At 47.5% G+C, this 14,075-nt stretch overlaps 3 annotated features.

Moving 5' to 3' along the window:
* Positions 1,833-3,032: an enhancer, noted in NCBI's record as "BRD4-independent group 4 enhancer chr5:151003759-151004958 (GRCh37/hg19 assembly coordinates)". NCBI's record gives its function as "activates an origin of replication core promoter dependent on BRD2, P300/CBP, MED14 and CDK7 cofactors, and independent of BRD4, by STARR-seq in HCT116 cells {active_cell/tissue: HCT116}" and the evidence as "EXISTENCE:reporter gene assay evidence [ECO:0000049][PMID:35650434]".
* Positions 6,466-7,142: an enhancer, noted in NCBI's record as "H3K27ac-H3K4me1 hESC enhancer chr5:150999649-151000325 (GRCh37/hg19 assembly coordinates)". NCBI's record gives its function as "activates a minimal SCP1, AML or CMV promoter by ChIP-STARR-seq in naive H9 embryonic stem cells {active_cell/tissue: H9 hESC(naive)}" and the evidence as "EXISTENCE:reporter gene assay evidence [ECO:0000049][PMID:30033119]".
* Positions 7,143-7,821: an enhancer, noted in NCBI's record as "H3K27ac-H3K4me1 hESC enhancer chr5:150998970-150999648 (GRCh37/hg19 assembly coordinates)". NCBI's record gives its function as "activates a minimal SCP1, AML or CMV promoter by ChIP-STARR-seq in naive H9 embryonic stem cells {active_cell/tissue: H9 hESC(naive)}" and the evidence as "EXISTENCE:reporter gene assay evidence [ECO:0000049][PMID:30033119]".

The following is a 14,075-nucleotide window of genomic DNA, read 5'->3' as shown; positions in this document are numbered from 1 at the left end:
TGTTCCACAACAGGACAAAATCGATGCTCCAGGACCTCCATCCCTAGTGTGCTCGGATGAGTTTGGATGCAGAGGGTAGTGTGGGGTGGGGAGGTGCGGGAGGGCCATTCTCAGCTACAGCAGCTACACACAGGACCCGCTGAGTGACTTTGATGAGTCACATGGCCTCTCTGATCTGTTTAGCTTATTTAATAGGGGCAAAAAAAAAAAAAAAAAAAAGACTTTTCCCTGTCCTAGGAAAGTCCTCTCACTGAGAGAGTTGTTCACATGTGCCTGCACTTATTCCTGAAAGATTCCTGCACGCCTTCCCCATTCTCTGCTTTGGGGGAACAATGAACCCATGGACTTGGCTCTTGAGCGGTTCATAATACTAGCCAGCATTTATTGAGCTGTTACTATGTGTCAGGCACTTTACCCATATTAAGTCATTTTATTGTCACAAGAGCCTTATGAGGACAGTTATTACTATCTACATTTTATAGGCAAGAAAATTGAGGCATGAAGAGGTTTAACAATATGCCCAAAGTCCCCAACAATTTGGCTTCCACCATTATACTAAGGTTTTCATGGAGTGGTCTGGGGATCCCTGTCGGGACGGTCTCATAACCCTTGTACATGGTCCATGAGGTCAAAATATTTTTCATGATAGTTACCAAGAACACATTTACCGTATTGCTCTCATGCTCTCCCGAGTGCTCAGTGGCATTTTCCAGAGGCTGCATCCTTATGATATCATAATAAGCAGCTAGGAGAATCCAGGTGTCTGTTTAAGACATTTGCAAACATGTAAAACAACGCCACACTTACGATTTTTTTTACTTCGAAAGTATTGTTCAGGACGTGGTGGTGTGCACCTGTAGCCCCATCCACTCGAGAGGCTGAGGTGGGAGGATGGCTCAGGCCCAGGAGGTCAAGGCTGCAGTGAGCTATGATTGTGCCACCACACTCCAGCCTGGGTGACAGAGTCAGACCCTGTCTCCAAAAAGAAAAAGAAAATACTATGATTATGTGAAACATGTAGTGGGCTTATTGTTATTTTTAAATAAATTACCACATAAATATTTATTTATTATTTATTGTTTATTTATTTTTATTTCAATAACTTTGGGCTAACAAGGGTTTTTGGTTACATGGATGAACTGTATAGTGATGATGTCTGAGATTTTAGTGCACCGTCACCCAAGCAGTATACAATTGTACCCAGTATGTAAACTACCACGTAAATATTTAGAACACTCTTCTTAGTTTTTTTTTTTTTTCTTTCGAGATGGAGTTTCGCACTTGTTGCCCAGGCTGGAGTGCAATGGCGTGATCTCTGCTCACTGCACCCTCTACCTCCCAGGTTCAGGCGATTCTCCTGGCTCAGCCTCCCGAGTAGCTGGGACTACAGGTATGCACCACCATGCTTGGCCAATTTTGTATTTTTAGTAAAGATGGGGTTTCGCCATGTTGGCCAGGCTGGTCTTGAACTCCTGACCTCAGGTGATCTGCGCACCCCCCCGCTCCGCCTCCCAAAGTGCTGGGATTACAGGTGTGAGCCACCGCACCCGGCCATCTTCTCAGTTTCGATTCCTGATAAAGACAGAGTGTAAAGGGGTCCTGAGATCGAGTGGCTTGAGAACTGCCGCATAAGCCTAAAGGGAAACGCTCCCCGCTCTTTGGCATGTGGGAGCTAATGCTCCAGGAGAAGCCCACTTGAGGTGTGGTCCCAGCGTTGACTGCCAGTCTCATTAACATGATGAAGTCATAGATTTCTGGACTGTGCACAGAGCAGCCCGTGTCAGAACCAGCTCCCTCGAAAATCAGTGCTGGTGATTCAGAGCATCTGTCTTTGTGACTTGCAATATGGGACTTAAATTTTGAATCTATCTCTGTACTTCACTTTCTACAGCTTCCTGAGAGCTATGGCAGGCCTCTCTTGGTCAGCAGCCCCTCCAGTGTCTAAGATGACTCCCTCGCAATTTGGGACGCACTCCCACCTGAGCCCTGCAAAGTAAATTTTGTTTCCTACATTTATACAAATGTTTGCAAACATTCCTTCCAAATTTGGTGACAGCCCATCAAGTCACTCTCAGTTGATGTTGTGGCCACTAGAAACTAAGTAGTGAAAATGACGATAACAATAGCATCGGGAATTCAGTAGGTGCTGATGGCAGGAGTAAGATCTACCACACATTTGCAAAATCTGTTATATGCGTCCCTTGCAGGGGAATCTTGTTTTCTGGATGGCATTTTTAATTTAATCTTTCATATTAACTTTTAGATTGTCCTCTTTATCTGGAGCTCCATAGGAAGCTTCTTGGAGGAATTCTAAAGGACATATATTCTAGAAGGATTTTATTCCAGAAATATTAAATTATGATCAGACACAGGGAGGATTCTAGCTTTTCAGGGTTTCTGTAAAGGTTTCTTCGAAAGACACGCAAGCTACGTTTTTCTGCTGTATTGGTTAAATTACTACAGGCGCTGGGTGTGCTGATTTTCCACACCAGCTCCCCACAGAGCGTTCTGTATCACTCTTGGCAACTCTTCTTGTGCTTGGCTCCATTTTGAACTTTGTAACCCATTCAGAGGCTTGCCTGAGAGCGGATCTTGTTTTGGAAGCTCACAATGGCATGGTGTCAAAAGGAATGAGCCTCTAATCTGACCTGAAAGCATAGTGCAGACCACAGATTTCTGCCTCTGAATCGGAATATTCCTATGTGATCCTGGCTGAACTGTTAGACATTCTAGAGCTTCGGTCCTCAGCAGTCAATAGAAAAAGAAATCTATCCTTCTTACCCTTACAGTATTGTTCTGAGGATCAAATGAGGTAAAATACTTTGAAAAACAGAAAGCACTTGTCATCGCTGGAGGCTTTCGAGAATGCTGTTCTCCATACTTGGAACCTGCCCTCATCCTTCCCTGTAGCTGTATAATCCCAAATCATCCTACGATACTGCTAACTCTGCTCCAGTCACACTGGTCTACCCCTGCAAACAGAAATCTCAGGGCCTTTGTACCGGCCATTCCCTTTGCATGCGATGCCCTTCCCCAGCGACTGCATGGCTGGCTCCCTGACTTCCTTCAGAGAGGTCTCTGTTCAAGTGTCACTTTATCAAAAAAACCTTTATTTTAAAAAAAGTTTTTATTTTTAGACAGGGCCTCACTCTGTTGCCCAGGCTGCAGTGCAATGGTGTGATCATAGCTCACTGCAGCCTTGACCCTCCTGGGCTCAAGCAATCCTCCTGCCTCAGCCTCCCATATAGCTAAGACACAGGCATGCACCACCATGCCCAGCTAACATATATATATATATAATATATATATACATATTTTAGATGGAGTCTCACTCTGTCACCCACGCTGGAGTGCAGTGGCGAGATCTCAGCTCACTGCAGCCTCTGTGTCCCGGGTTCAAGTGATTCTCCTGCCTCAGCCCCCTGAGTAGCTGGGACTATAGGTACGTGCCACCACGCGTGGCTAATTTTTTTTTTTTTTTTTTTGTATTTTTAGTAGAGGTGTGGTTTCACCATGTTGGCTAGGCTGGTCTTGGGCTCCTGACTTCAAGTGATCTGCCCGCCTCGGGCTCCCAAAGTGCTAGGATTACAAGTGGGAGCCACCATACCCAGCCTTAAAAAGCATATATTTTTTGTAGAGATGAGGTCGTGCTATATTGCCCAGGAGGTCTCAAACTCCTGGGCTCAAGTGACCCTCTTGCTTCAGCTTCCCCAAATTCTGGGATTACAGGCAGGAGCCACTGCACTCACCCAAAAAGGCCTTCTCTAGACTCACTATATGAATTAGCACCCATGCCCTGAGAGCTCTCTATTCCTCTTACCCAGCATCAGTGTTCTTCATAGCATGTATTACCACCTGATGCATCATATTGATTTACCTGATTGTTTGACTTTAAAATGTCAGTTCCATAAGTGCTGCTTTGTTTTGCTGTAATCTCAGTGCTTAGAACTTGGCACACACACGCCCCTCCACCAAAAAAAAAAAAAGCGAGGGGAGGAGACAAGAAAAAAATAATCAGCAGACAGTGATAGCAGAGTATGGGACAGGGTGGGCTGGGTGAAAGAGATTTCAGTGGGCCAACCATACAAAACAAAGGACAGGAGACCCCATGTTCCCTGCTGCCCATCCTCATCTCCTGGCTTGGATGCATTAGAGCAAAGCCTCAGTGTAATCATGGGCATTTGGATTGTTTACTCCTCGTTAACCACCCTCTTTGCTCACTTAATTGGTCCAAAGCCTGTGGCATGAGTAACTAACTGTGCAGCGATTTGGCACGTGGTCAGCCAGCAGTAGCAGCCGTAATTGCACAGCGAGTACTGCACTCATACTAACTGGGTGGGTCCTGTGCAGTTCCCACACGGTAATGGAGCTCAGACAGGCGGCTGCCGCTGCCTGCAGCACCTTTGATGTCCTGGCAAACACACCCATGGGACTTGCTCAACCACAGGATCTTCACTCTTGGCTTCTTATGGGTGCCCAACTAGTCTCCCAGGTCCCATGCTGTCTGAGCATCTTACACAAGTGGGCAGAGAAATTCACACCCCTGGTTTAGAGGGAACTAAATCCAAGTTGCGAATGCATGGCCTGGCTTCTGCCTGCCTGGCCACCTCCCCTCACACCTCTCCTCCTTGGATTGCTCTGTTACACTCACCTCCTGCCTGCTTTCCCGTAAAGGTCGTGCCTCAGGCCCTTTGCACTAGCTCTTCCCCCCATATCTTCAAACGGATACCTCCTTCTTATCCTGCATGTATCAGCTGATATGAATAAATGAAGGAATTGTATGGCTGTGGGCAAGTCCCAGTCCCTCTTGGAATCTCCATTTTCCCCTCTGACAAGTGAGTAGATGGATTCAATCTCTATGCTCTTTTCACATGGATATTTGATGTCTGAGCATTGTGCTAGTCAATGAATGAGGCCACAAAGATGTTTGGAGACTCTACTATGCACTGAGCTCTGGGTGCTAAGTAGAAAGTAGTAAGGAAATAAAAGAGAAACACGAACCTCAAGGGGCATGGCGGGAGGAGACTGACAGGCAGTAAACATACACACAAAGAAATAAGATGATTTCTGTTATTGATAAGTGCTCTGCACATAAAAGTAAGGGAATATGATGGGCAATGAGTGATGCAGGGGTTTGGTTAGTGTTGTCAAGGAGGACCTCTGCGAGGAAGTGACTTTTGAGCTGAAATCTGAAGGATGGGAAGCTGGGAGCAAACATTCCAAGGAGGAGCAACAATTTCAGAGACCCAGGGAAACAAACAAGTGCGTCATCTTCTTGTAGTGGAAAGAAGGCGTGTGCATAAGGGGCAAAGTGGAGGGGAAGGACGTCCTGTGGGCAGGAGACAGATGGCGAAAGTCTTGTCCAGGGGCCATGGTAGGGAGTGTGCGTTTCCCACTAAGGGCCATGGGAAGTCCATGGAGGGTTTTAGCAGGAGAGTGACTTACTATCTTAGAGCAAATCACTCTGGCTGCTCCTTGGAGAAGAGACTACAAGAACAGTCATCCAGGAAAGAAAAAGTGGTGACTGGGTGTAGGGCGAGGGGCTGAAAGAAGTGGTGAAATTCAGGGCATGTGTCTCGGAGGTAGAGCTGTGAGCACTCTCTGATGGGTGAGATGCACTTGTGAGGGACGGACAGATATGTGGGATGCAGTTGGTACATGTCTAGTAAATTACAAACACGGCCCGGGGATCCTGTGGGGCTCTGGTTTGCCAAAGAGCTCAACTTTGGGATTCAGGCACATCTGAAATAATAGGATGACCTCCGTATTTCTCACCTGTCACTGCCCTTGAGGGGAGGAACCGTGTGTATTTTATTTGTCACATTAAGTGCCTAACACAATCCCAGGCGGAGTGGCACTCAGTCACTAAATTGTCCCTGAAGCTTCATCTCTCTCAGGGATCTCACAGGAAGGATGGGAGGCTGTTTCAAGAAGGCATTCCTGGGTTCACAAGCCACATGCTCTCTGATAGTCCCATCAGTCCCATGAGTAACCAAGCCCAGTAGGTGAGACAGCTTTGCCCCATCACCCACTGCTGTCCCGGGTCACCCAGAGCCCTCTTCCTGGGCCTCTGCCCCCTCACTGGCTGCAGGAGCCCAGGCTCTCAATTTGATGCACTCTGACCACTTTCTCAGGTCAAAAATATGTTCATTGCTTAAAATTCACCAATAGACTGGATCTGTTCCCCCAACCTCCTCCACCACCCCCCACCTCTGCTTCTTTTTCTGTGGGTCACGCTGCGTTCACAAAGACCTTTGGAGACTGGGAGCCTGTTGTACATGAAGGGTGGAGTGTCAGTTGTACGTGGGAGATGTTAGGGGCAAGGGTACATTGCCAGGAGGTGGTGTTTATCCAGACTTCTCTCTGCCAAGGGGCTTCCCACTTTGTCTATGATTAGGACTGGTGCAGGAAAAAAGACACTTCTTGTTCAGAAGGTCCCCTGAGAATTTCCCCAGAGGGAAGGCTGCTGTCCCAGGAAGCTTCTCAGGAAAGGGACTCCAGACTTTGCATTCTTGGCCCCGCCTGACATGCAGGCTTCGCCCTGTTTCGGGGCTGATGAGAAAGCACGGCCCCAGGCACTGGGGCTTCATATTAAATTCTTAATAGCCATGGTGGGTTTGATCCCACACTCCCGAGAGAATTAGTCACTACAGGTTCAAGTGAGGAATTTATGGACAGGCCTCAACAATCTGCTTCTAATTTGGGGATGGAAACTTTGATTTAAGAATCCCAAAAGGCAATATAGTATGCACAGAGGAAGGAGCGCAAGGTGGGGAGGCCTTGATTCCGGTCATTGAACACACTTTATTCATTTCTGTGTCTGGCACTGTCCTAGTCGAGGCCCCTTCCTGTGAGTCGAAAGCTATGTTACCTTGGGCAAGTTCCTCCCCATTTCTAGGCTTCAGCTTCCTGACTGGCAGAAGGATGGAATGCAGCTCCCTTCTGGCTTTTGTTGGGGGTGGAGCGGTGGGGGGCTTTGATGCCATGAGTCTGGGTCTATGAAGGACAAATGGCATCTCCAGCTGTGGCTGCTCCCAGGGAGGGCTCCCCTATGGAAAGTTGGCTTTGGTGGCACAGCAGTTCCTGGAAGCCCGTGCATGCCTGAGATGCATTCATTACCCCCTGTCTGGAAACCCTGCCTGCCCTCCTGCTGCTGGGGAGGCATGGAAGGGGTTAAAGTTGCTGTGCAAGGAAGGAATAGACTCACTCCTTCCCCTCCCTTGTCAGGTCTTCTCCCCCTTTTGTTCTCAGGGATTTGCTCAGCTTGCTGGGGTTAGGTAAGCCTCCACTCTGGGCTGGGAGCCGCCACTCTGCTGTGTGGAGAGAACAGAACTGCAGCAACTTGCCCTGGCTCTTCCCCCAGGCAAGAAATCTGAAGCTACCACAAGGGGTGGGGAAATCTTGGAACCTGAGACAGTGGCCAAGCTGGAGCTAGAAGTGTCTTTAGGTATCACTGAGCCCAACTAACTCCTTTTGCAGGTGGGGAAACTGAGGCCCAGAAAAGAGACATTTGTTGGGTTCGCAGCTAGTTAGGTGGATTCAAATGCAGGTTTTCTCAATTTCTGGGCCTGCTCTCTTCACAGGGTATAAAGCTCTAACACAACAATGGAGGTAAAGTGTGGAACCAGTGGTCTCTTGGGGGTCCCTCAGGCTACTTTGTCACATGGCTCCATGGCTCCTGGACAATACATGAGTTGACCAGTTGTCAGTCATCTCAGGATGTGGTGTCAGGGAAACACCAGGATCCTGGAGGCGTGGGGACTCTTTCTGACTACCTGTGAGCTGAATGACTCTGGACACATCATGTCACCTCTCTGAGACAGTTTTGCCACTGCAAAATGGGGCCAGAATCCCTGCTTTCCCTAATTCATAGGTGTCTGTGTGGAATAATGTACTTTGAAGACTGCAAAGCTCTACATGTGCTCTGCATCCATTTCCCCTCCCTCTGGTTCTGCCCCTGATTTTCAGGAGGGGTTCAGTCTACTTTAGTCTTTAAGCTTAACCAGTGGTTGGGGGCAACGGACCCAACCTATGCTCCAGAGTTGGGTGTGAGACTTGGCTTTGCCAATCAGAGCATGAGTTCCCTGTGGTCACTGTGATTGGCTCAGGGTTGGGCTTGTGTCCCAATCACAGACAATCAATATTCATCCTGGGACTTTTGCTTGAGTGACAGAGAGAAATGACTCACTCTTTTCTCAGCTGAACAATAGCCTCGGAGAATGTGAACTTAGAGCTCCCAGGGACCACCAGGTGAGGAGAAACTACCTGATAATTAAGTAAATGCAAAGGAAAATAGCCAAAAAGCAGAGAAGGGTGATCTCTTGACAACGCTGTTTGCTCATTTGGCCTCATACTTAGACCTAAGGACAAACTCTCCCTGGATATGAGTCAATTCATTTCTTTTATTGTCTCCTTTTCTTCTTTGGTCCCTTTTTCTTTCTATCCATTTCCTTATTTTTGCTTAAGCAAGTCTGATTTGGGTTTCTGTCACTTGCAATCAAATTCCTTATTAAGACAAAAAAAAAAAAGAAAAATAATAATTACTGGGCAAACAATGTTAGTTACTGACCCAATATCCATTTCTCCTTCTCACTAAAAAAACCCTGGTTGGGAAATGAGAGCAGGGAGAGACAATGTGTTAAGTCCCAGGAGAGATGGAATGGTGGTGAAAGTTAATCACGACATCCCTGTTTCTTGTTTTTCATGATTCTTTGCAGCTGGTGGTGGCCGTGTGACCTAGTTCTAGACTGTGAAACATAGGAGCAATCAGCTAGGAAAGAAAACATATGGGGCTTCTGGGAATGTAGACATAGCCAGCATCACCCCATCTCCTTTCCCCTGCCTTGAAAGTGAGTGTGATGTCTGGAGCTTCAGCAGCAATATTGTGTTTATGAGGCAGAAGCCAAAAGAACTGCAGTGACACCAGCCCTAATATCACTGAGCTACTGAACAAAAGCCAACAGCTGTCTGCCTGTGTGTTTCTTGCAATATAATACAAACAAAAACCTATTTGTTTAAGCCACTGTTAGTGGATTTTCTATTACTTGCAGGTAGCTCAAAGCATTCTTTGAAAATGAGTCAAGTACTTATCTTGCAATGTCATTGATCCAAAACTCAGACTAAAAAAATAGCTAAGAATAAAACAAATATTTACTGAGTAGCTAAGATTACAATCCAGTGTGCTAAGTGCTTAGTTGCATGTAACTTTACATTGAGCTGCAATGACCTTATGAGGCAGATACTACTATTAGTCCCATTTTATAGATTGGAAAACTCAGTCATAGAAATATCTTGCTCAGGGCCATACAGCTAGTAAGTGCTGAAGACAGAAAGGCTTCTGACTAGCCGCAATGGTTTCTACTATGTACTTGACTCATAGGAGAGTCCCTTGCTCAGATATTACATATCCATTTTATACCCAATGCAGACATGTAGTTATCTAATAGATGCACTGTCATAAAGAAGACAGAGAGAGAAGGGCCCCTGGAATAATTGACGGCTGACAGTGTCAATGAGAGAAGATTAAACACAAAAAAGAAAAGCTTTGCCTTTCAGTGAGAGGCAAATAGTCTAAAATATCTTTGCAGCCTTTGAGGACACCTCCGCTTTAAAACTTAATTCAAACGTTAATGTTTTTGTGATGGTCCTGAGTCATCAAGGAAAGATGAAATCATGCTTCGCATCTTGTTTGAAAAGGCAGGGAAGCACCTAGTAGAACTACAGAAGGTTCCCACCTGAAATGGTTACAACGAAAGAAAAGTTTAATGCATTGACCAACACTGCCTCTTCTCTGACCCCCTCCGCAACCCAGCTCTCTGGAAAAATAAGCTTACAGAATCCTTCCTTCCTCCACAGGCCCAGAAGGCCAGGGTATTAGAAGACTGCATTTTTCATCACCATTTCCCCAAGATGTTCCCTTCCCAAGACTGTAAATGTCCTCCAGCCTGTTTTTAGCAAAGGTGATCTGAATTATGATGCCTGGGGGTTACCGACAGGCACTCACAGCAATAGCATGAAGCCCTAACGAACAAGGCCTGGTTGGGACCTCTGCTTGCTGCCTAGCTGGGATCATAAGTAGACAGAGAAGGAGCTGAGAGGGACGATTACATTGATCCAATATCTAGATGGGCAGGGGGCAACTGAATGAAGAACTCTAAGGTAAAAACCACACCATGCTGAGTCTGAGTGTGCCTTTTGATATCCAGAAGTCTGATCTGCTCTTTTATCAGATAGGGAAACTGAGGCCCAGAGAGGGAAAGGACTTACCCAAGATCACAGAGCAAGGTTATGGCAGAGCCCAGAGCTTTTGTGTCTTGACTTCTGACCAGGGCAGAGGGGGACATTGAGCAAAAGCCCCTGAGGGTCAGGAAGATCAGTTCAGACTTGTGTCCTGGAGCTAGGAAGGAATCAACCTGAATGAAGCTCTTCTCTCCACTGGGCCTTTTCTTTGGGACTCCTGGAGCTTCCAGGGAGCTGGTTCAGGTGGGGACGTTTCTGATATATTCATTCAATAAATACATATTGAATGTCTGCTATGTTATCACCATAGTAAGAAAATAAGAAGTGGTGACTGTTCCCCACAGGGTCAACAGTCGAATGTAGTGGTGAAGATTATAGGCACTGGGCTGAGTGTGGTGACTCACACCTGTAATCCCAGCACTTTGGGAGGCTGAGGCAAGTGGATCACTTGACGTCAGGAGTTCGAGACCAGCCTGGCCAACATGGTGAAATCCCGTCTCTACTAAAAATACAAAAAAAAATAGCTGAGCATGGTGGTGCACGCCTGTATTCCCAGCTACTCGGGAGGCTGAGACAGGAGAATCACTTGAACCTGGGAGGCAGAAGTTGCAGTGACAGTAAACCAGGGATAGTGGCAGGCACCTGTAATCCCAGCTACTTACGAGGCTGAGGTAGGAGAATCGTTTGAAACGGGGAGGCGGAAGTTGCAGTGAGCCAATATTACAACACTGCACTCCAGCCTGGGCAACAGAGCAAGACTCCGTCTCAACAACAACAACAACAACAACAACAACAAAAGATTATAGGTGCTGGAATCATTTGGCCCGGGGCCAAGCATGGGGACACCCTGAGCTACACAGGCAAGGACATCCATACAGACCCTCAGGCAGAACGATGTGCATGTTCACTCACAGTGACACAGGTACTGTACACACAGGCACAAACACATAGACACATGTATAAATGTGTCCACATCAGACACACATATACATATCTCACACAGACACAGGCATATATAGGTACACAACATGTGTATATACACATGCATGTGCGCACACACACAGAACCTTCTTATATTCTCCCCCCATAAGCAAATTGCAGTCTCAGCAATGCTAGAAATGACATCTACATATTCTCCTGGAAAAACAGACTTCCTAAATGCTGCCTGATTCATGACCAGGGGTGCCTGAGTCTCTCCCCCTACATCACCCGCTGCTCTACGCATTTGGTGAGGAGAAGACAGAACGCAGGGTCTGAGCCACTCCTGCCTGATTCATTCCTCTCTGGGGCCACAGAGTTTTCTCTTCCCTGCTTAGAGCAGCCTCCCAGGCTCAACACCTTGAGTTCTGCCCCTGACTCATTCTGCTTCAGCACAGCACTTAGACCTGTGGTTTGCACAAGTCAGGGCACGACCCAAGGTGGGGATGGGGTGATGTTGCTGGTGGGAGGGGGGAGGTCACTATCAGGTAATCAGGCAAGGGCTCTGGAGAAGGTCAGGGTGTGGCTGTGTGGCTGTGTGGCTGTGCAGGGGCACAAGAAATGTGTACTAGTCAGCCCTGCTGGGAAGCCGGCTCATGAGGCAGAGAGGGGACCCAGCTGGAACCCTGGCACTGTCTGCATTTAGAACTCCCTCACATTGGAGCTACTAGGTCCTGCCCTGCTCTTCCTGCAGTTCCATTGTCGCTGTGGGGTGAGGAGTCTGTGGAGCCAAGGGGAAGGCTTACCCTAAGCCTGTGACCCACCCCCTCACCACTTCCAGATCACATTTTCAGCACCCAAGCTGTCGGTTTCCAGCTCAATAGCCCCCAGCTTACTTTCTAGGCCTCTGCCAGGGGTCTTTCCTCCAAGGGCAGGCTGTACACCTCTAAGGGTAGCCTGAGGGATGGCCAAGTTGTTGTTTGCTGGGAAGGCATTAGGGTGGTGAGGATGGAGCGTGGTCACATGGGGTGAGATGTCTAAGCACCTGCCTATAACCATTTTCCTTGTAGGAAGAGGAGTCAAGAGAAGGCAGGTGGGCTGGAGCCACAGGGCCCTTCATTTGAACTCTTGCTTCGTGCCCTGTAGTATAAGGGATAGACCTGCCTGAAGTCAGTCAGTCCAAGTGCAGAGATGTGGAGGCCTCCCGAAAGGTGTTTGTTTGCCAAGCTGAATTTTTATTGCAATGATGAATGCATGAGACTGCATGCAAGAGAAACTGGATTCTGGCCAAGTTCTGACAAACAGTCCCACTGGATAGGAACGTAGGCTTTGGGGTCAACTACCCGGGTTTCAAAGCTCTGGGACGTTCTAGCTATGTGACCTCAGACACGATCACCTCGGTGAGCCTCACTTTTTTCATGTGACACATGAGATCAATAATTGTCTCTCCCTCATGTTGGATGGAAAAATGCTTAGTACAGTGGTTGGTACCTAGTAAGTGCTTAATTAGAGTGATTCTATGTGACACCAACTGCTGTCTCTGAGTCTCAAGCCCCCTTTAGAAAAGGAGGGGATGATACACTAAATTCAGTGGTTTTTAACATTTCTTCAGACACTCTCCGTCTGGGATTAGGTCTGAAGGAGAAGCATCATGGTGCCCAGAAAGCCCCCTGGGCAGAGCACAGCAGACGAGCTGAGCATTCTCCCAGCATCGGGACTCTGGCTTTGCAGATAGTCTGGACCTGGAAATCCTCATCAAAGGGTTTGGAGAGGAAAACAGTTCTCAGAGTACTGTAATAATGCCTGGGGGTTATAAGGCTCCAGGGTCTTTGCACATGCTGGTCCCTTTGTGGGGAACACCCGTTGTCTCCCACTTCTTAGCAGTGAGCTGCCACTTATGTTTCAGATCTGAAACCTCACTTCCTCAGGAAAGCTCAGAGCTTCTGTTACAGGTTCCTTTTCTCTGTATCCATTCCCATCTACAGCACACATCAAGGTAGGGGAGCATTTGATGACACTCCTCCAAGAGGTCTTTCTTTCAGCTCCATCCAGGTTTAGTGCCCTTCTGAGGTGTTCCCAACAAACCCTGCACTGTGCATTTCACGTGCTTTAAAACTCTGGTCAGCTCCAACTCAACTTCGCTCAGGGTCACACAGCCAATACATGCTGAACACAAAAAGGCTTCTGAGTAGCTGCAATGGGTTCTACCATGTATTTTACTCATAAGGAGCATGTGTTGCCCGGAGATGATATATTCCTTTTTTTTTTTTTTTTCTGGAGACGGAGTCTTGCTTGATGCCTAAGCACAGTACGGTGGTGTGATCTCGGCTCGCTGAAACCTCCGCCTCCCAGGTTCAAGCGATTCGCCTGCCTCAGCCTCCCGAGTAGCTGGGATTACAGATACATTCATTTTGTACCTGATGCAGACATGTAGTTACCTAACAGATTCACTGTTGTAAAGAAGGCAGAGAGAGAAGGGCCCCTGGAATAATTGACAGCTGACAGTGTCAATGAGAGTGATACCTTCAACCAACTCCCATGGTTCCTGAAGCCACCGCCTTTTTCTCCATTGTCTAGCAGCCACCGCGGAGAACCTCATGGAGCAAGGGCAAGAGGAGATGTGAAAGTTCAGGGGAATGGAGGGAGGCTTCCTTGACACAGTAGCATCTGAGCCTGGCCTTGAAGCCTGTCTGGGTGTGATGTAGCCAGGCTGAGACTGTGTGGGTGGATTAGAGAAGAGCAGGTGAAGGCAGGAGAGGCATTTCAGGCAGAGTGAATCATCAGCAAAAGCTCAGGCAAAGAATCATCAGCAAAAGCAGCCAAGATGTCACGCATCCTGGAGGCTCCAGATCAAATAGCTTCCTCCGTTGCATGTTCCCAGAGTGCTCCCTACTCGCCTGTCATGAAGTGCACTGCAC

This window comes from Homo sapiens, chromosome 5, assembly GCF_000001405.40.
Source record: "Homo sapiens chromosome 5, GRCh38.p14 Primary Assembly".
Lineage (NCBI taxonomy): Eukaryota > Metazoa > Chordata > Mammalia > Primates > Hominidae > Homo > Homo sapiens.
Note: the sequence above shows the minus strand (reverse complement) of the source record. Positions and strands in the feature narration are given on the sequence as shown.